The sequence below is a fragment of the Homo sapiens genome, chromosome 8 (genome assembly GCF_000001405.40).
Source record: "Homo sapiens chromosome 8, GRCh38.p14 Primary Assembly".
NCBI classification, from domain to species: domain Eukaryota; kingdom Metazoa; phylum Chordata; class Mammalia; order Primates; family Hominidae; genus Homo; species Homo sapiens.
In genome coordinates this window covers 111,451,080-111,474,604 of record NC_000008.11, presented here as the reverse complement: position 1 = coordinate 111,474,604, position 23,525 = coordinate 111,451,080, and the positions used below count along the sequence as shown (strand labels likewise).

The following is a 23,525-nucleotide window of genomic DNA, read 5'->3' as shown; positions in this document are numbered from 1 at the left end:
AGTAGCAGCAAAATGGAAAGCAATCACAATTACTTGCACGGAGAATGTGAGTTATTTAAAAGGTCCTCCTCAGAAACCTAAATGAAATAAAGCTAGGAAAAGCAGTGATAGTCAACCAGGTAGCCTGGTACTGCCATAGTACCCATCACGGGTGAAGGGAGACTGAAATCAATGAAGCAGATGAACCTCTATCTGGGTCGCAGCACTAGAAATGCTGATGTGATACCTCGGTTCTTGTTTTCTTAGTTTAAAAGAATTTAAACAAGAGATACACGGCAAAGGAGATGCAGCATAGAGTATTTTATTGTGAAAGAAAGAGAATATTTTGAAAGTGAGGTGCAAAATAGACAGTACAATCTGAGAGAGGGAATTCAGGGCAGGCTGCTCATAAGGTCAAGACAGCAAAGACTGGAAGTAGGAAGACTTTCTTTATGGGAGTCTTACATGATTATTCGTAAGGAGGTGGAAAGTGGCATTGGTCATAAACATGTTCTAGGTGGTCCTATGGGTGCACATGCACAGTAGCTGTACATGCTTGTTCATACATGGCATGTCTAGCTAGCATATTAAATCTCCACCCAGAAGTGGGTTTTTTACTATGATATTGAGTAAAGGGTCAGTTTGAGGACAGGTAAAATCAAAGTGCTCATGCTGTCTAGCAGGGAAAGTCTACTGAAGATAGCTTTGCTTGAATGAGCTCAATTACAATGCTAATGGTGAGGCTTGTTGTGTTGATTGTGTTGATGGTCAACACAGTTGCTGCATCCTGAGAACATGGTCACTTGCTTGACTACCTATCCTGCCTATTGTGTATATGTATATATACATTCATATATTTGGTGACAACAGATAATATATGTATATATATTGAGTGACTATGTATTATTTATTTCGTAGAGTAAGGTTTGGCTAATGCTAAATCTGCTATTTTATTTGTGATTCTATGATGCATAAAAAGGTATATAAATAAATATGTGGAAAGGTGTCTAGATGCAACTGTTTACTGTTCAACATCTGTCATTAAAATGTCAATTAAAGGTGTTCAGTATATGCTATGAAAATGTCAATTATTTTACTATATTGACTGAGATTTTCATTACCCTCTTTATGTTATTTTTCAAGGAAACTTAATATGTAAGGAGCCTTGAAAGTCTGTAAATCTAGCTCTTATTTTGCATCAGAATCAACTGATGTCTGAATAACATCAAAATATATGTAGCTATTAAGTATGAAAATAAACACTAAAATTTTCAGAGTTTTAAAATTTCCTATAATCCTGAGTATTGTGTTTGCTATTATGCAATAAATATATCATAAATATAATTAGCTTACTTCTAAAAGTTACATCATGTTGCATCTAATATTTAAGAAGCCGGAATCATCTTCTGCCTTCCACTCAACCCGTGCTTCTTCACTGAATTCTTATTGCTCGAATAATTACTCTATGACTAGAAATATTTATGGGTACTAGTATATGGATCTCACTAAAACTCCTAAGTAATTGCAAGTTCATTTTATTTTTCAAGCTATAAAGTTACATAACATACTAATAAAAATTAAGCCTCTTTACTATGATGTCTTATTGAAGTAGCAGGTTGCAAATTAGATTACATATTTTTGTAAGGTTGCAAATTAGATTATATATTTTTGTAATAAAAATCTATTAATATTTTGATATATTCTTGTAATGACAGTAAAGAAACTTAACTGACAATTGTTGAATGAACAAAATAAGGAAGACCTTCTTTATGTTATACCTCAAACTAATATTTTACCTACATGATATAAAATTCTATTAGTAGCCATATTATTCCATATCATTTACTTTTTATCTGGCTTTACTGTTTTCTAGCAGAAATCAAATTAAACTGGTGCTTACGCACCGGTTTAATAACTATCCCAGCAATCTGACAGTACATAAGGGAACCACAAATGAAGAGATCACTTGAAGGCGACATTCTGGATCATATATTCTTTGAGCCCTAAACAAATATAATTATGCAATTCAAACACTCCAAACATTATATGAACAAACGAAATATTGCAATGGCTAATGACTTTTCTGTGTTTGTATTAGAAAACATATTATAGCACAAATCTTCCGGGTTTTTATTTAACTTTTATTTTAGGTTCGTGGGTACATAGGATGGTTTGTTACATAGCTAAACTCGTATTGTGCGGATTTGTTACACAGATTCCTTCATCACCCGGGTACTAAGCCTAGAACCCAATAGTTATTCTTTTCTGCTCCTCTCCCTCCTCTCCCTCTCCACCCTCAAGGAGACCCCAGTATCTGTTGCTCCCTTCTTTGTGTTCATTAGTTCTCATCATTCAGCTTTCACTTAAAAGTGAGAACATGCAGTATTTGGTTTTCTGTTCCTGCATTCATTTGATAAGGATAATAGTCTCTAGTTCCAGCCATGTTCCCACACAAGACATGACCTCATTTTTTATGGCTGCATAGTATTCCATTGTGTATATGTACCACATTTTACTTATTCAAACTGTCACTGGTGGACATAGTGTTCCAATGTGTATATGTACCACATTTTACTTACTCAAACTGTCATATAGTGCTGCAGTGGACATTCACATGCATGTATCTTTATAGTAGAATGATTTATATTCCTCTGCATATACCATGTGTGTGACAGATTATATTTTCAAAATTTAGCCACCATCACAGTATCTCCCAACTAATACACTCTTCCACTCTGTTCCCTTCATCAAAATCCTTTCTTGTTGAATCTGAGCAGGGCTTATAACTTCTTGTAATCAATAGAATATGATCAAATGATAATGCATTATTTTGGAAGTTAGGTGAGAATAAGGCATCCAGCTTTCACCTAGCTCTAAGGATAATACCTCTCATAGTATATCCATTCAGATACTGATGTCATATTGTGATAAGCCCCAGTCACATGAAGAGGTCACCTCTAGATGCTCTGTGGACAATCCCAACTAATCCAAAACCTCAGCCGACACATCCAGAGGTCAGCATGTCACCGAAGAAGATATCTGGGAAGTAAATCTTTCATATCTAATTGTTCAACTTTCAATCATTCAGGTCTTCAAGGGCAAATCCTGAAAGTTGTGGAGCAGAGAAAAGCCACCACCACTGAGACTTTTCTGAATTTTTTTTCCAAAAGAATCTGCAGTACTACCAAAATTCTTGTCCCACATCCAGGAAGAATGAGGTATGCAGAAAACTGAAGGGCTAGGAAGGTGAAGAAGTGCTTTATTGAGCAACAGTACAACTCTAGGAGACCTGAAGTGGGTAGCTCCTATCCACAGGCAGTCGTCCTGTCAAGTCTGCAGCCCTCAACAAGGAGGAGATTTGGAGTGAGTAGCTCCTATAAGCAGGCACATCATCCTGGAGATCCGGAGTAGGTAGCTCCTTTAGGCAGGCAGGTCTTCCTGACATCTGTAGCCTTCAGTGGAGAGAAGCACCACAGTGGTAGCTCCTATCTGCAGGCAGGTAATCTGTGTGAGTCTGGCTGAGTCCAGGATTTTTATGGCTTCAGAAGGAAGGAAGTGCATGCTGATTGGTTCATGGGTGGCCATGGGCAGGCCTGGAAAAAGCACTGTAAGTTCTCACTACAGGCGGCCTACGGCCTGGCCCCCAGTCTTCCCTGTCCCTGGTTTGAAGGTGGGGCCTCACCAAGGACTCACCCCTTTCTGCCTAGGAAAGTGTCTGCCTCCTGCCTCCATCAATATGTCATCTGTGGTACGAAGGCTATTCATGCCAATGGTCGCCTGCAAGCCTACACTGCACCAGCTTCAGCCCCCCCTCAGCCTCTGTCCCTTGATCGTCTGTGCCCAAAGTCCCACGGGGACTGAGGTGTGGGAGTGGAGGCTGGCATGTCAGCGTCTCCTCCAGCACACACATTCGGCTGGGTTGCCACAACGCCCAGGCTCAGCTACAACTTTGCTTTACAGTGGTGTGGGTGCCCGAGCCGGAACAGGCCAGGGAGTGGGAGCAGGCCCTTCCGAGCCTACAGTGCCATAGGGCGTATAGGTCTGGAGTCACCCTTGCAGTTGCATCTGGAGGGAGGGGCTCTTGCCCCGCGACTTGATAGGGGCGGGGGGCCTGCCTGTTCCCGGCCTCACCAGCTCCACAGAGGCACAGCCCCACCACGCCTCCCTTGCTGCAGACGACGTCTTCCCAACCGCGGCTCCAGACGGGCGGTTGCTGCCATCACTAGGATGTATCACTGCAAATGCCTTTTGAAGAATGCATTCAGTCACATGGAAAAACATAATTACAGACACAGTAACATACAGACAGTGCTTACTTACAAAAAAAAAAAAAGACACGAATTCATATCAAGAATCTCATATCAAGAATCCCTTCTTTATCTCTCCTTAGACAGATATTCAATTATATCTAATATTTGTGTATTCCTTACGTGTCAGATATTTTCCTAAGTGCTTTAAAATTCTTTAATACTCATAATAACTCTATGCAGTATCTTTTTATTATCACGTTTTAAAAAATGAGGCTGCGAGAGTTTACTAACAAACTCACATAGATGAACGTTGCAAATTGAGATATGAAGAAAAATAATTTTTATATAACAATTACTGTTTATTTTTATAATAACTGCTAAGGAAAATATCATTAATTTAGGCTGTATTGTAGAAACTTTAATACAATATCTAAATAATAAAACATATTTTGCATGTTCAATAAATACATATTATTTCTATATGCATGTCACTGGAACCTATTACCAATACATATATTTAATGTAAAAATAAAGTATATTTTCTATGGAACCTTTAGTTTCTGTACTGACCATAAGTTCATTTTGCATCAAGCACTATCTCATAATACATGATGTAGATAATATAATGTTATATTAAAATTGATCTTGTACAATTTGCCACAAACTGGCTTTATTCCCCTGTTGGTAGAACCAGTATTACAGAGTATTTTCTTCCTACCCTGTGTTTAACAATTGATTACAACATACTCCTTGACCTTTTTATTTTCTTGCCTGTGTATACCGCCTGCCTGTCCTGTTTTAAGCCGTATTTCTCTTAAACATCACATTTCTTATTGGTTGCTATCTATCTTTGTTCTTTATCTTATCTTATCCCCTTCAATAAAATTGCACATGACTAATTGAGTTATTGTAGCTTCTAGTTTGATGAACTAAAAGTTTAATGCCTCTCTCTTTCCCTTTCTTGCTGCATCCGTTTTTTGCTTCAGCCATTTCCTCCTCCTGTTCTCTTCTCACTTCTCTTTTTTCTCTTGTCTCTCATTTCCTTTTTCTTTCTCTCCCTGCCTTTTTCTCTTCCACCCTAATCCCAAACTGTATCATCCAGCATCCTATTGAGAACTATGTTTTACAAAGAAAATGATATGTTATACAAAGCTGTAGATGATGAGTAGAGAAAAATAAATGCTGCAATTAGATGATAAAGGAAACAGGGAGGGAAATATAATCCTTAGTCTTTCATAATTAAAATCTTCATAGATCTAAGTGAACTCACTGGAATTCAAACTCAAGTATTTGTAATAGCTGAAGTCATGTTGTTTTAGTATAAGCCTGGAAAGCAACTCATTTTTGTTGCTGTTATTCTTTTTGGTTGTTTGCTTTTTCCTAGAATCAGCAGACTTGTGAAACACTGTGGCATAACATCCCCTCATGCACTGACTGCAGAGGAAGCAAAAAAAACAGTCTCATGCTTTCTACCCAAAGGCCCCTGCTGAAATGCAACATCAGGTCTGGTTTCACTAATTTTCCATTTTTCAATTGTTTTTCTTATGTTGGAAAGAAAAATCTCAAAATAATTTGATAAGGAATTTAGCTAACATAAAATTAAGTCATGGTCCATGCCATATGCAAATTCCTGTAGTTTCCTGAGAGATTATTGCACTTTCTAGTTATGTAACAATATATGTTGTAGCTTGAAATATCTTTAAGACTTGGCTGAGTTTCCAACAAAGGCTCAATTACATATGAGGTTTAACAAAGGCAATGAAGAGATTCAATGCCCTAGGCTTTCAGAGACACAAAATAAAAATAGAAACACACATACCCATGGAATTATTCTAATAGTTACTTGGTATTACTAGGAGAGTCAGTTGAATATACCTTTTCACACATGGATCAGCAAAATATTGATTTGAACTAAGTATCTTAACCACATTTAAACTTCTGTGGACTGCAGTAAGTGAAGTGAAGCACTCTTCTACACATTTGAGCAGATTTTCAAATTCTCTAACACTACAATACTTCCAACTAACAATTTGGCAATAGGCCAAGATTTGTTTTTAAACTTTAATTCTTTAAATAAAATGTTTACTTTCACCTATATATAACTAATAATTTACTTCTGTGGATCTAAATTACTTGGATTTTGTATTTTTTTTTTGTTGCTATAATTCATTACTCTGTTCAATAGACACATGTAGTTCAAGATATTTGTACATTTTATGGCATTGTAGGTATATTGAGAATATATTAGGTGCTTTTATTGCTTTTATTTTTCAAGTAAATCAATATACTTAACACACACAAAATATTAGTTTCCATGTATACTATTTAAAGTGAAAGTAAGGTTAATATTTTGAGAAAGTAAGATACATAATGAACTGTTTCTGAATAAGGGAGTGAATAATGGAGGAAAGAAAAAATAAATGAAAGCAGTGAAAATGCTCATTTTTATTAAAACTGAAACAATTGAAAACGTAATTGAAATAAACTAACAAACATCATTTATTTATTCAGTTGTATGACAAATGTCCATGGCAAGCTACCATGTACCACGCCAATAAGGAATAAAACATATTTGTCTTTATGTATTCTATTCTAGTTGTATAGCCAGAAAATAAACATTTACTTTATATTTGTAAGAATTCCATTTACAAGATATTCTTGAAAAGACAAAATTATAGTGATGGAGAACAGATCAGTAATTGTCAGGGTATAGAGTTGATGTAGTGTGGTTGGTTATATGTGGCTATATGTGTGCTAAAATTTATGGAAATTCACATCCAAAATCATAGTCAATTTTACTATATATTAAAATAAAATAAACCCAAAAAAGATAACCTTTAGACTAAATTAAATAAACTGACATGATATAATGTTTTCTGGAACATGTGGACCATTCATTCACTGCCAGTGGACTACATTTATTCAAGAAAGCTTGGAAAACTCTTTGGCATATCTACCATATATGCATACCTTATAACCCAACAATTTCTATTTTATAAATATACCCAACAAAAAAGGCATACGTAAGTCACTAAAATTATGTAATGTATTTTGAACAGCATTCTTTCTAATTGATTTTTTTTGTATAATGTATTCCAGGACAATAAGAACCTCAAGGTAATTTTTTAAAGTTAACTAATAATTTTAATTTAGTTTAAAATTCTGAAGCATTTCCAATACCATTTTGGCATTTAAAAACCTACAGTATAGAACAGAATGTTTATGATTTTTAGAATTTGGGATTTTAAGGATAAAATAAAATATATTAAAATATAATAAGTAAAACCACAGCCTTCCTAAATATAATTTGGAAATAAGAGTAGCAACTTAAGATGCATTGTTTAAGAAAAAAATGTATTTTTTAAACAACGGATTTCTGATTTTGACTTACCTGTCTAGGGAAACAATGAAAAATACAGTATCTCAATGTTGAAATTAAACTTACTCTTTATCTCATAAAATATACTTCTTTTTATTAACATAATTATTATTTTTAGTGACTACAAGTAAAATCTCTGTTGCATTTCTTGAATCATCTTTATATTCTCCCTTCATAAGCTATATATTTCAGTAAACCTAACAACCTACCATACCTAGAAAGATGCCATATATATGTTGTGTCAAATAAATACTAGTTGAATGATAGTATTGGTGGTGATTTAAAATAACAACTTACATTCTAACATCATCATTATAAGAAAGTGTGATGTCTTTGAATGTACAGGATACTCCATTGTAACTTCAAAGAGAGAAAATTATTGTCCACTTTGTAAGTAGCCGATAAAAATCACTGCCTATTGAAAAAAGGTGAAAGGCAGTATTTTCTAAGGAAACTTTATTCCTAAATATTATAAGAAAGAAGAAAGAAATGTATTATCTACTTGAGATATGAATAATGTATTTTAGCATAAACTAATGTGAAAATTTAAAAGTTGTAATATGTTATGAACTGAATGTTTGTGTCCTCCCAAAATTCATACGTTGAAATTCTACCCCTTAACAAGATGGTAACAGGTGGGGAATTTAGGTGACAATTAGGTCATGAGAGTAGAGCCCTCATGAACAGGATTATTACCTTGATAAAAGGGACCACAGGAGCTCTCTTGTCCTCTTTCCTCCATTTGAAGATACAAGGAGGTCTGCAGTCTGTGACCTCGACAGTGCTGGCACCCTGATCTCAGACGTCCAGACTCTAGAACTGTAAGAAATAAATGTTGTTCAAGCCACCTAGTCTAAGGTACTTTGTTACAGCAGCTGGGACTAACACATGAAGTTATTAAGATATATTGTAAATTTATTTGTGTTTTATTTTCTAAATATAAATTACTAATTATTTGTATCTAAAGAGCAATATATAATTAAAAAATATCACACAATTACTTTTATCAACATTGATCATTTCTTATGCTAAGGACAACTCACTCAGAAAGCACTACAATTTAATCTTATTCCATATATAATATAGAATCATGTGTATTTTAAAAGAAGCTTTTTTCTTCTTCTCTAAAGATTGAATTTTATTCTATGCCATATGTTTTTATTATATTAATACTCATCATTGAAACATTTCAGTAGAACATTCAATAAAATATTTGTCTTATTGGTGAGGGGAGCTTTTATTTTCTGGCTCTATTTTTCTATGTGGGGGAGTTTTTCTGAGTGGTACTGTTGGTCTCCTTCAGCATTCCACAGTTATTTCTCACTATTAAGGGAGGATTGGCTTAACTGAGAGTGTGGTTATAAGGAGAAGATGATTACACTTAGCTCAGCCCCACCTTCCTTCATTCCCTTTATTTCTGCCAACTTGCACAAAGGATCTATTCTCATTCTTTCTTGGTCATTTATTAGATTTAGTAGGATGGATTTCCATCACAGAGCCTTTGCATTCTAGTATTTTCTGTGTCTAGGTGGAGCTAATTATTCAGGAGTATAACATAAATAATCAATTATCTTATTAAATCTTTAGCCATGTATTCAAACCTAGATTTTGTCAGTATGCATTTTATTTATTTATTTTTACAAATTTAAATAGCTTTTTGTGTATAAGTGGCTTTTTGTTACATAAATGAATTATATAGTGGTGAATTCTTTGATTTTGGTGCACCCATCACCCAAGTAGTACATATTTCACCCAATAGATAGTTCTTCATTCCTCATCTCCTCCCACCCTCCACATTCTGAGTCTCTAAAGTCTATTATATCATTCACTCTCTATGCCTTTACATAGTCATAGCTTAGCTTCCACTTATAAGTGAGGACATACTGTTTTTGCATTTCCACTCCTGTATTACTTCACTTAGAATAATGGCCTCCAGCTCCATCCATGTTGCTGCTGACATTATTTTGTTCCTTTCAATGGCTGAGTAGTATTCCATGGTGTATATTTATCGTATTTTCCTTATCTGCTCATTAGTTCATAGGCACTTAGGTTAGTTTCATGTCTTTGCAGTTATGAATTTTGCTCCTATAAACATATGTGTGCAAGTATCCCTTCATATAATTACTTCTTTTTTTGTGGGGGTAGATACCCAGTAATGGGATTGCTGGATCAAATGGTAGTTCTACTTTTAGTACTTTAAGGAATCTCCATGCTGTTTCCCATACAGGTTGTACTAATTTTCATTGCCCTCTGCAGTGTATAAGTGTTCCCTTTTCCCCACATCCACACCAACATCTATTGTTTTGTGATTTTTAAATAATTGCCATTCTTGCAAAAGTAAGGTGGTATCTCATCGTGGTTTAATTTGCATTTCCTTGATGATTGGTGATGTTAAGCATTTTTTCACGTTTCCTGGCCATATATCTTCTTGATATATGGGTGAGAGATAAAAAGAAAGCAGATGAAAATCTATGAATACCGATGGATCAAAAAGCAAGATAAATTTTCATGAAGGACAGGACTCAAAGGGGTGAAATGCAATAAACTCCGAACAACAGGATGGAAGGGTCCTCTTCTCCAAGACCCTTCATGCACACCAGGAGTTTCTGAGTGTTGGGATAGAGCAGAAAGCTTCCTCTGCTGAGCCCAGCACTTTCAACTGTGCCACTGCTGAAAGAAGCTTTCCACCAGCAGAAGGATCTGGAGCTCAAGGCCTGCCATCCAAATTATTTTGTTCCACAGGGTGTTCCCTTGATGTGGTGTGCTCCTCCTTCCCCTAGGAGTGGGAGTCCCTGGGTGTCAGTGTATAATTATTAAAAAATTATTTTTATTCTACCTGCTTGAACTCTGTGACCTTCTATAAAGGCTTCTTATGGACTCAATGAGTTCCACCAAAATTCATATGTTGAAATCTTAACCCTCAATGTGATGGTATTAGGAGGCTAAGTCTTTGGGAGATAATTAGGTCATGAGGATGGAAGAATGGGATTAGGACCCTTATAAAAGAGACCTCGTAGGCTGGATGCAGTGACTCACACCTGTAATCCCAGCATTTTGGGAGGCTGAGGCGGGCGGATCATGAAGTCGGGAGTTCGAGACCAGCCTGGCTAACATAGTGAAACACCATCTCTACTAAAAATACAAAAATTAGCCGGACATGGTGACACGTGCCTGTAGCCCCAGCTACTTGGGAGGCTGAGGCAGGAGAATCACTTGAACCTGAGAGGCAGAGGTTGCAGTGAGCCGAGATCGTGCCACTGGACTCCAGCCTGGGCAACAGAGTGAAACTCCGTCTCAAGAAAACAAAACAAAACAAAACAAAAAAAACAAACTCCATTGAGCTCTTTTGCCTTTTTTTTTTCCCCTAGCCTGTGAGGATACAGTGAGAAGACAGCTGTCTATGAATCAGTAAGTGGGATCTCAGCAGAACTCAACCATGCTGGCACTCTGACCTCAGATCCAACCTCCAAAACTGTGAGAAATAAATTTCTGTGGTTTCTATCACCCAGTCTGGTATTCTGCAATAGCAGCCTGAACTAAGACAAGGCTTAACACAGATTAGGAGAAAAAAAAATTCCTGTTTTAGCCCTAGATTTTGTTGCATTTATCTCTGAATTTACAGGCACAGACACAGAATGGTAGAATGGTATTAGGAAGTGAAACACACAGGCAATATAAGGAAATTCATGACTTTAAGATTTAGTGGGACTTAGTTAGGCTCAATTCATGCAGGATTCATAGTGAATTATGTTGTACCATGAGGACACTTTTATAAATTTGTGTGGTTGAATTTTACACTGTGTCTTTGGCAGGCGGCTTTTATAGTAAGAAGTATTGCAACTTGATGGTGAACTAGAGTGCTCCCTCTCTTGCAACTCAGCACTGGGGTAACCAAAACTTGGAACTTGGAAAATAAGAATTTTTGAATATTCTTGAAGAGAAGGTATCTCAACTAAGTGCTAACTTTCTCGAAGGGTCATAAATGCCACCCACCAAAAAATACAGTATAGAGAGTATGTCTAGGTGAAATTTTATCTGTATCTAGTAAGCAATATGACATAAATATACTATTTATGGGCATTTTCTCATATTTAAAATTACATTTCAATGCCCTGGTGGTCAAGCCCAAGACACAGATTGACAGATATCCTGGTAAAACTGAAGCCAAAAGGCTTTTCCCAATGGCTCTGTTTCTAAGTTACCATTAAGATAGCCAGGGTAGACCAGGCATGGTGGCTAATGCCTGTATTCCCAACATTTTGGGAGGCTGAGGCAGGTGGATAGTTTGAGTCCAGGAGTTTGAGACCAGCTTGGGCAACATGAACAGGTGAAACCCTGCCTCTGCTAAAAATACAAAAATTAGCTGGGCATGGTGGCATATGCCTGTAGTCCCAGCTATGCAGAAAGCTGAGGCACGAAAATCTCTTGAACCCAGGAGGTGGAGGCTGCAGTGAGTTGAGATCACACCACTGCACTCCAGCCTAGAATACAGAGCAAGATTCTGACTCAAAAACAAACAAACAAATCAATCAAACAAACAAACAACAACAACCAAAAGACTGCCAGGGTAGTTGCCAATGCTAGGTCCTGGGTTATTCGAATATAGTTTGTCCAGGAATAGTTTTATCACAAGAACTAATAATACTAGATCAGGATAAGCCTATCCTTTCTTATTTGCTTGCTTGGTGTTTTGACAGACACAGTGAACACTTATGGATAACACAAAGATGTTGAAGAGACTTAAATACTTTCCAGATATACTATGTAAGCTATAGTCCTTGAGCTAGGTATTCAGCATGCTTCAGGATTAAAATGAGTGCAGTTTGTTTTTTTGTTTTTTAATGAAAGAGATGGTTTTGTCCTTTAATACTTTTGTAATCAAATGTTTTATTTTTTAATTCATGTTAAAAATATTATTTAAGTTTGGATTTTATTTAATCAAGAATTTTTAACTTACCTCAACGGCATAAAGGTATCTAAAGTCCCTTTTGTACTTTAATGCTTGATCCATAATCAATTTCTCCTTACCAGTGCTAATGGTAGGTATTGAAATTAGAGGACATCTCCTCATGGTTGGGATTTTATTTTTGTAGCATCTGTATTTTATCATTTAGTCTCATTGTAAAACCTTGTATAGTATATGGCATGAACATTTGGATTTTTTTGAGGTTCAGAGTAGCATTAGAATCAATTTTACCACCTTATGACTATTTTTAAACTATACCATTCTGTGAAAAAATAAAATAACCTTCCCTTCAGTGATCTTCAGATCATCAGCAAATGATTGGGGCACGTGACGTCACAAACAGAATGACTTAATTTCAATCTTTCGTTTGAGGCATCATGCACACAGAAAGTTCAAATATTTGCTAATTCTCTGTGTGTGTGTGTGTGTGTGTGTGTGTGTTCTCTATGTACTTGTAGATTGTATTATTGTAAAAATATGCATTGCTCTCTTATCAGGCTTTTAGTTTTTGGAACACTCCATAGCAGGTTCTTTTCTACAGTACATCTCCGTTATGTAAGATTATACCACTGTTCCCCAGACTAAGCCAAGTGATTAGATTTAGACATATACTTCTCAACCTGAAAACATTTCGTCCCCCAGGGAATATTTGATAATGTTGCAGACATTTTTGTTCGTTACAACTGTGGGGCTGTTACTGGCATCTAGTGGGTAAAAAAAAAAAAAAAAAAAAAAAAAAGATGCTGCTAAATAATAATGCACAAGATAGCTCTTCCAACCCCATCACAAAGAATTATCTGGTCTCCAAATTTAGTAATATTGTGTTTGAAAGTGCTTTAAACAATGAAATGTGTGTGATGTGACATGAACCATTTCTGAGCAGAAATCGTAAGAATCATAGTATGATTCTGCCATTATTTTTTTTCTCTACCATGAGATGGGTGTAGGGGCTCAGATGTGACTGCCTCTGTAACCTAGACCCAAAAATGAAGAAGATTGGAGCAGTGCTCCAGCCAAACCACAATAGACGTATAATATAATCGAGAAATAAAGACATGTAATATGATCAAGAAACAAACCTTTCTTGTTGTAAGCTACTAAAATTTAAAGGTCCTTTGTTACTGTAGCATAATGTACTTAACATAAGCTGATTGATAAATTACTTAGTGAATTTCAATAATAAGATTAACATTTTTATGTCCATGAGGATGACTCCTGAATCTGACTCTTAATTGGCTCTGAATTCAGTTGATAAAGAAGGATTTTATTTATTGCTTTGCATAAAAATTAAAATATATACTAAGATAAGGTTGCTAATTCGAGGAAATGTGAACATTTCTATTTGAAGGGTTTTTAATCTCCAAATGATGCCAGACATTTTAAAATATGCTAAAAAATCACCTTCTTTTGAAAGGTTAAAGCATGTCAGTGACCAGCCTAACTGAGTAAATTATCTTAAATGTAATGTAGTTTTAAATATGGTCTTGTCCAGATAATTTGTAATTTGTTAAACAGTTCATGGATGCTGGTTCTCAAAAGACTTGGAAAAATGAAGATTTGAAAATCATTTTGTGTGGGGTCCTAGTAGATAGTACCATCATACCTTTCTTCCATGAAAACAATTATGGGAGTGACTGGTAAGTTCAGTTTACTCTTAAAATGACTATAATAAATTTATAGAAACAGTAAATTCCTGCTCTGTAGTCAATGATTCTCCCAATAAGGTAGTCAAAAAAAATCTTGAACATTTACAGCCAAGTGTGAGAAGAAAGTGCCAGGCTCTCTTAGTTTAAAGATAGTCTGCTACTCTTTCTGTCCTCATACTTTTCTTACAAAGTGTCAAAATATGTGGTGAATAGATACACACAAAAAGACAAAGCACATGTGTTTGTGTTATAGTATGTGTGCTTTCCATCAGTCTTCAATTCCTTTTTGAAGGGAGTTTTCCCTTATGAATGTCTAATTAAGAGTATTTGGCACATAAAAAGGCTAAGTGAAGATTGAATTAATGAATACTTATAAATGAATAGATATTTTAATTTATGCTTATTTTCACAAAATAATCTAATAAAAATTTATGAAAATTAGATATTTAGAACCAATCTAATGTTTCAGTTTATATAAAGTTTTTTTTCCAATTCTACAAGAAAGAAAAATGAAGTGTTTCATTGTAATCCTGTTTTTTAGTCTGGAATTGATCTTCATTTTCAAAAGATTAAAGAGTGGATGGCTTGTGGCTACTAAATTTCTCAAAATAGACTTCAAGACATATCTGAGGGTAGAGAAGGTGAGCAGATATTGGAAAATACAGTTATCCTACATCAAACATCTTTAAAATTAAAAAGCCTGGGCTTGTAACCCATCTTGTCCTCATAAAAAAGTTACACCATGCTGATGTTCAAAGTTTTGGACAAGGTGTTTTGCTATATTATGATTGTGATATACCTGTTTGAAGCTGTGAGTTAGATCCTTTGGTTTCAGCTGAAGGACTTTATCTATAGTATATTTTTGTATTCTAATATAAGAGAATTGGATGTTACTCTAATAAAATTCTGTAAGGAAATAATTCCTTATAGATGCTTGAACTTCATAAACAATTTAGAAAAGGTAGAATGGTTTCGGACCTCAAATTTCTTTACATTTAGCATAATATTATTTTAACTTAAAGCCTGTATAACCCAGAGAGAATTTAATTTTCCAAAACCTTGTTATCTAAATGAAAGTCTGTGGCCTGGACACCCACACTGTCCCTCTGCTGGTATTATCTTATTTTGCGTCTTAGATTGCTGTTTTCTGAGATTAGAAAAGTTTCCCCTGACTTCATTAAAAAAATAGACTCTGCTTTTTGATGCTCATTAATTTTGTATAATGTTTTTCTTCAGCCATCCAATTTATCTGTGTGAAGCAGTCCACATTTGTTTAGTTGCAAGCCTAAAGATTTTATTCCTAACATTAAGTTAACTGTATTTTATTTGTTATTTGAGTTTAAAGTAGGTAAAATATACATAACTATGAGCTATAAGTCTTTCTTTTCATTAAGCATGGTATTCTTCTTGGCTACTATTGTACTCTAGATCACTATTTTGTCCAACATTTTCTAAATATGTAAAAAATCTTTAGTTTATTTGATTTAGCTTTAAAATAATTTCAAACAATCTTCATATAGATTGAAGAACTTCATTTAAAGTAATTTTATTTTGTAAAATATTTCAAAAATGTTGTAAAAATTAAATATTTACTTCCAAATCTTGAAATGAATTCTATGAATAGTGTTTAGTTCTAAAATATATATTTTTTAGACAAAACTTTTATCAATTAGAATATTTTAAAATATACACAAGTTATTCCTTGAATCATTTAAAATAAACATCATAATCTCCCTTTATGAAGTATTTCTATGTAGCTGTTATTAATATTTAGACACATACATGCATATATTACCATCTAAACATTTTATGAACCTGAATTAAATATATTAAAAAGTTACAGTTCAGAAGATAAATGAAAGATCAAGATATAAAACAAACCATTTTTTTACAAAAGCATTAATTTATTAAAAGAGGCATTAGTTAGAATGTTAAGACTGACCGAATCCTCAGAATAAAAATTGGATCCAGTGCCACGAAAGCCTGTCCACCATCTCAGGAGAAAGGCTGTCTCAAATAGTTATCTGGCAAGATCTCATGCTATCCAAATGGAATATGATCTTTATTTGATCAACTCGGGTGAGGAAAATAACCCCCAGATGTTGCAATGAGTTCACACATTTTTTTCATCGCTTTATTGTTGTATTATTGTTATTTGTGTATTAGTTTTCTTTTCTGCAATTGACTTAGCTCCTCTCTGGGTCAGTTGGCTTCTCTATTTTAGTGTCATAGTCAACACCTGCAAGAGCAATCATATGTATTTTTCTTACAGCCTATGGCTGTCAGGAAAATATATACAATGCAGCATATGTGTATATATATGTACTAAGGCATAGATATTTGTCTTATGCAACTTTATGGACAATCTACTTAAAGCTACCTTGGCTCCTGATTGTGTGTGCACAAGAAGTGGGCTTTCTTTCTTTCCCCACATAGCTGTAGGTCAAATGATGGATGAGCTTTTGACATTCTCTGAACTCCCAGAAATGTTCTTCTTTTGTAGTTTTATAGTAATTTCAAGTTATTTAGCCTCTCAGTAAGGGTTTTGAAGTCCAGGGTAAATAATTATTGTATAACATACGTGAGACTTATTCTATCTTGCATTTGTTCATTTGATGCAGTACCTGCTATGAGTCAGGCATTATGATGATTACAGAAGATAAAAAGAAAACAGGATGGCTGCCTTCCAAGGTTTAATGACAAAAAAAAGCCAAATAAATTAATATGCAATTTCAATAATTTCTTTTTTTTTTTTTTTTTGGAGACAGAGTCTTGCTCTGTCACCCAGGCTGGAGTGCAGTGGCACGATCTCAGCTCACTGCAACCTCTGCTTCCCGGGTTCAAGCAATTCTCCTGCCGCAGCCTCCCAAGTAGCTGGGACTACAGGTGCATGCCACCATGCCCGGCTAATGTTTTTTGTATTTTAGTAGAGACGGGGTTTCACCATGTTGCCCAGGCTGGCCGCGAACTCCTGAGCTCAGGCAATCTGCCTGCCTCATCCTCCCAAACTGCTGGGATTACAGGCTTGAGCCACCGTGCCCAGCCAATTTTAATAATTTCTAAAGCAAGGTAAACTATTAATGAATTCAATTATTTGGCATAAATATAGTTTTTAAATATTGTATAAATATGTAAATCAACTAAAATTAGAATCTTAGCAAACAGAGGCAACTAGAGTTTCAATCTCAATCACATTTTTCCATGACTTTCTACGTACAAGGTTAGTCAAAGGAGATGATAGATAGGGGAGGTCTCACTGGTTGTGGGAATATTTTGGCTTTGGATGAGATACCCGTTATGTTAGCTCCCATGGTGCTCCCTTGTCCACAGGATCTGCTGCTATAGGCCATGCTAGGAGCAGGGCCAATTGGGCATGTTTGTAAGGGCCCATGGCCTAGGGTGAAATTCACTCACCCTAGGAGGTGCTAGGCCTGAGATTCATTCTCCCTATGTGTGCCTCAGTCACTTTCTCATTGGCGTTGCTGCTTCCCAAGGGTGCTGCTGCTTCTAATCACATAGTTGTCCCCCCTGGATCTCCTCCACACCTCTCTCCCTTCAGTCTACAAGAATCCAGTTTTAAAAAAGATAGGTTTTAGAAAAACAAAATAAAATGCCAAGAAGAAAAGTAAATTCAGCCAGCTTTATCTTTAGGGGAGAATCATAAGCCATTCTGGGGCAATTTAGGACAGGAATGCCCACCTCTTCATGGAAGTGGAAGTGGGGAAATAGATAATTTGAAAATAAAAAATTATTTCATGTATCAAATTTTTAAACACATCTAATAAATGTAAGCCAAAGATTTTAATGTCATGCAAAATACTATGATAGAAAAATCACTAGCTACCAGGCAAGTAGAAGATACCTGTAACTCCTAACCATGAAAAAATCAGGAAACAGGTGTCTCACTTGGAGCCAGAAATCCGCTAAAGATCTAAAGTTTTCTAAAGTTTTTGGAGGGAAGGACTCCAGATGGATTTTAGACACAGCTGAGTTCTTAAAGACAATGTTAAGTTAATCAGGAGGCTGAAAGTGATGGAGTTTACTCTAAGCAGAAAACACCGGTACTACTAGCATAAATTCTGATCTACTTAAGGACTCACACACAAATTAGAACACATTGTACAGTACGTGGACAGTGGTAGAGAGAAGGTCCAAGACATAGCAGCCAGACCATAAATGTCCTTGTCTACCCTAGAGATTTTATTTTTACAACAGAGAATAAGCTGCTCATGCACTGTTTCTTTCTGGATCCTTTATTTGTATTTATTGCTTTAATTATTACACTTGCCTTCAAGTGCTCATATACCTAAACTAAAATTGTGAAATCTCTACGTAAAGAGAACATGTCTTATAACTATTTCCTATGCATATTAATACAATGTCATTTAAATAGTATTTTGCAGTAGTTTGATAACATTTGAATTTTGTTATTTATATCATGCCTTTTGTCATTGTAAAGAGTATATTTGCTTATTTTACTTAAGCTCTAATTTTCATTTTTGAGTCAATTTTACTAATAAGTAAGTAATAAATAAGCCAAATTTTACTTGTTGAGATCATGTCAAATTTTAATTTTGTTTCCCAACATTCTATTTAACCTATATTTTTTTGTTTACAATTAAATCAATAACTGCATTAAAGATAAACATAATACATATTAGTTTTCCTTTGGAAAACTGAGAACATTTTATCACAGAACTAATTTTTAGAAAGTGTTATGATTCCTTTTAGTAGAGATGTTTTTAAAAGTAAAATAAAAAAAACAGAAAAAAAGGTACTTTCTCTAACTAGATACATGCTGAGTCAATTTTAGTCTTGGAAATAATAATTATATTTAGCATTTGCTTATGAGAGTCATACTAACTCCAAATGTTTGTTGGTTTTTTTTGTATGCAAATTAACATAATAATATCTTCATATTTAAATAGGAAATAGACAAAATCGTTTGCTTATTTAGCGTAGCAGAAAATAATGAACTTATTCATGACAGTAGACTACACTGAAAAATAAAGGAAAAAATTACGATCTTATGTGATAATTTGTTATTTTTTGTGGTGCACAGATTTGGTCCATGGAAACTGTGGAGATGTTTATTTTCTTCCAATATACAAATTTCTCCATTGTATGTGTGTGTATGTGTGCGTGTAGTTAATTTAAATCAATGATTAATAAGAAAGATATTAATAGGTTATTAATATATCTATTCTCTCCTTTTCCTATTACTTCTCTTTCCACCTTTTATCTGGGTTCAGGTTGGGGCTAAAAACATGAGAAAGGACATGGGCCTCTCCTGAATGCAGAACCCCCTATAACTGCCAGAATCTCTACTGTCACCAGCTACACAAGCTTCAGAATCAAGAAGCAGAGACTAAGTACCATAGTCATTTCATAACCATGCACATTGATTTTTGTAATTTTTCTAAAATGGATGTTTTGTACTATCTCTCTCTGTCTCAATGTAATTTGGTTCTGAATCAAAATCTTGAAAGGATGAATCTAAATTATGTCCCTAAACTTGCAAGGTAGTCTTGGAAATGTAGTTCTTAAGTTAGTTACCTCTGTATGCTATAAGGGGTCTACAGTATCTTTCAACAGATACTTTATAAAGATATTGAAGTCAAGTCTGTAAATGAAATCAGACCTGTCCCACATTGTTCTTAGATACTTTTTCTAACTAACCTACTATTCTGGTCAACTGTGCTGGCCAAATTAAGGTTAAATTCTGTTTTTTATGCATGTGACTGGACCCTTAGAAAATACAAATGGGGAAAAAAGGTTAAATAGTGAAAAAAGGTAGTAAAATGTGAAACCATCTAGATTTTTGAAGCACTTTAAACATATTTGTCCTGAACCCACACAATTTGTACACAAACATTCCTCTTGAGCACGTCTTGTTTGACTGCTTTGATAATATGGTAGCTAAATGGTTTAATTTATCTCTTAAATGATGCTGGAAATTGTATAAAGCAGTGGTCCCTAAACATTTTGGCAACAGAGACCAGTTTGTGGAAGACAGTTTTTCCACAGAAGGCAAGGAGGGATGGTTTCGGGATGATTCAAGTGCATTACATTTATTGTGTACTTTATATATATTATCATTATATTGTAAAATATGATGAAATAATTATATAACTCAACATAATGTTGAATCAGTGGGAGCCCTGAGGTTTTTTTTTTTTTTTTTTTTGGCAGCTAGTTGGTCCCATCTAGGGGTGATGGGAGACAGTGACACTGAAGTGTGTTGCTTGTGTTCAGTTTACTCTGCAATCTCATTATGGTTGCTGTCACTGCAGGGAAGCCTGCTTCACAAAGATAGGATGTTGGAAATGCAAGCATGCTTTTCAGTGCTTTTATGGCAATCTCAAGATATTCTGCCTCGCCTTTAATCCAGAATGTATGGATATTTGATGTCTTCTCAAACATACTTTTAAAGGCACCATCTTTTGTGATGTCAAGCAGTTGATTCTCTTCTAGTATGGGTGAGTCAACTTATGTGACTTATTCGCAAATGGTTCATGGATCCATTCCTTCCCAGTTCAGGGAAGTAGTGTAGTTGGGAAGTAATGCTCAAACTCTTATGGAAGCTGAGATAGGTGATCATGCACCAGCTAGGAGAAAGAAAGCCCTGGCTCATTCTCTTTCAAAATCTCTGCTAGTGTTTGAAACATCAGAAATCCCAATGTTCACTTGTTGCCCTCACAATTCCAGTTTGGCTTTGAATGCAGCCATTTTAACTGCTGACTTGAACACAGTTGTCAGTCTCCTCTGAAGTGACAGATTGAGTTCATTGAGCCAGTTAAATATGTCACACAAATAAGCAAGTTTTGCAACCCATTCTGGGTCACTGAAATGTGCTCTTAGTGGTAATTGTTCTTCTAAAGGAAATCTTTGGAGCAACTCTCACAACTCAAAAACTCTTGCCAGTGATCTACCTTTAGAAGGCCATATCACTTACATGTTGAAGATGTGTGTGTCCTGCGTCCATCTCCTCACAGATCTGTGCTGCGAACAGACATGAATTAAGGGCATGTACTTTCATGTGATTGATAATTTTAATCACATCCTGCAAACTATTGTTAAGTTCAGGTAACGTTTTTGGGCTAGCTAGTATTTCTTTATGGATGACACAGGGTGTAGACTCATTTAGAAGCGACCTCTTTGACTCCAATAGTGAAAGCAGAAAGCCATCCAGTCATGGTAGTCACTCTGTCCATGCATATACTGACACAAAATGACTAATTCGGTTTTCCAGATATGTAATCATTTTAAAACTTGAAGAGTTCTGCAGTTGTGTTGTTGGTTGGCAACAAAAGTGTACATAACGCATCCTTGTGAACATCCTCCTGAAAAATATATCATACAAAACCAAGCATTGTTGCCTTCTTGTCAACATCGGTAGACTCATCAACCTGGATAGTGCACCACAGTGACTCATTAATCCTATATAACCATTGTGCCTATATATCCTCTGCTATTTCATCAGTTTGTCTAGTTATAATGCTAGCCAAAAGAGAAACACGTGCCACTTTTTGAACTGCATCCTCTCCTAAAATTTCACAACAAATGTCCTTAGCAGCAAGCAGGATTAGCTCTTTGCCAGCAGTAAAGACCTTCTTAGCTTTAGCAATGCAGTTAGCCCCTAAGAATGATGCTCTCAGTACAGACACATTTGATGAAGTGGTGGCCTTCATTGCTTCTGTTCTTCATGTTCACAACTTTTTTTTTCTTTTGAAAAACTCCTAAGTCTTGTCTTTTAATAGAGGGTGCTTGGTTTCCATGTGGTGAAGAAGTTTTGAGAGTTTAATGGCTTCATTAAATAACTGCTCATCACATATTATACAAAGCAGGTTTACAGAATATGAATCACCTTTTTCAATGAATCCACAATTTAAGTAGGACACTTGGTATTTTCTTTTAAATTCAGCTGTATTTTTGTTGTCAGCCGTAGAGTTTTCTGCTGTCTCATCATTGTGTCTTTTCCTCTTTTCAAAGAAACTCTCCAGTGACATTTGCTTTTACTCATTTTGGCTAGGGTTAGCTTGTGGGCTTACCCAAACTGTGGCTGAGACAAGTGCACAGTAAAGGAAAGAGGCATGAACAGAAGTGGTAAATAAAATAATGGGCAACCCATGCATGGACTAGAATAAGTGTCAGATTCTGACTTAAAGCCTGCCACCAGATGCAGCTGTACAATTGAAGTACATCAACTCAAGTGCCACTATAAAGCCAGCCACCAGATGCAGCTTAATTGTCATTTGCCATTCACTGATAGGGTTTTGATATGAATCTGCAAGCATTTGATTTGTATGTTCTCTGTGCAGTCAAACATCTCTGCTAATGTTAATCTGTATTTGTAGTCTCTCCCCAGTGCTAGCATTACGTCCTCAGCTCCACTTCACATCATCAGGCATTAGATTCTCATAAAGAGCATGCAACCCAGATCCCTCACATGTGCAGTCCACAATAGGATTTGCAGGCCTATGAGAATCTAATGACACAGCTGATCTGATAGGAGGCCGAACTCAGGTGGTAATGGTTGTGATGGGGAGTGGTTTTAAATACAGATGAAGCTTTGTTCGCATGCTGGCTACTTGCCTTCTACTGTGAGGCCCGTTTCCCAACAGGCTATGGACCAGTACTTGTCTGTGGCCGGGGGTTAGGGACCCCTGAAATACAGTATTTGACAAACTTACTGACTTAATAACATGACTTAAGTAAACAGTCTTCTACCTTGTTTAATGTATAAATATCTTCCAAGTATAAAAGCATGTGAGAAAATGCCTATTATTTAAATAGACAAGCAAAGGATAGCAACTATTTTGATAATGCCATGAATCTAATTTTTCTTCGAATGACTTCTCATCACAGACAATCCATTAAAATAGAAAGATAACAAAATTTAGAAACATATCTATGTCTTGCTCTGCACATACAAAGAACATCTGGCCATAGACCAGACAATTTAGCACTTTGACTTAGTGGTTAATTTTGATTCACTCTAAGGCCAGTCTTTACTAAATTTAAATAACAAAGTACATAAATAAATGCAAATGCAGTATTAAGCTATTCTTCATTAAAGAGAAAAGATACATGATCTATTACAAAACAACAATATGTAGATTACATTCAGAGTCTGCAGAGAACTGATCCCTCTAGATGTTCAGCATTTCCATAGCTTGTCAGAAGCCACGGATACTTTCATATAGACTCTGGTACCGTCTCTTAGAGCCCATTACTTTTTGAGAAAAGAAACTCTAACACTGAATTCTGTTTTTCAGTTTTCTCCTCTAAAGCCATCTCTTTTC

General features: G+C 35.5%; 1 long non-coding RNA gene across 1 annotated transcript in view; it reads right to left on the bottom strand.

Moving 5' to 3' along the window:
* Positions 1 to 3,987: 3,987 nt before the first annotated feature.
* Positions 3,988 to 23,525, bottom strand: part of LINC02237 (long intergenic non-protein coding RNA 2237) — a 93,979-nt gene continuing 74,441 nt past the window's right edge. The window contains exons 3-4 of the long non-coding RNA NR_146282.1: positions 8,305 to 8,427; positions 3,988 to 4,224 (exon numbers count right to left, since the gene is read on the bottom strand). This is a non-coding gene — a long non-coding RNA (long intergenic non-protein coding RNA 2237). The remainder of the gene's footprint in view (positions 4,225 to 8,304; positions 8,428 to 23,525) is intronic.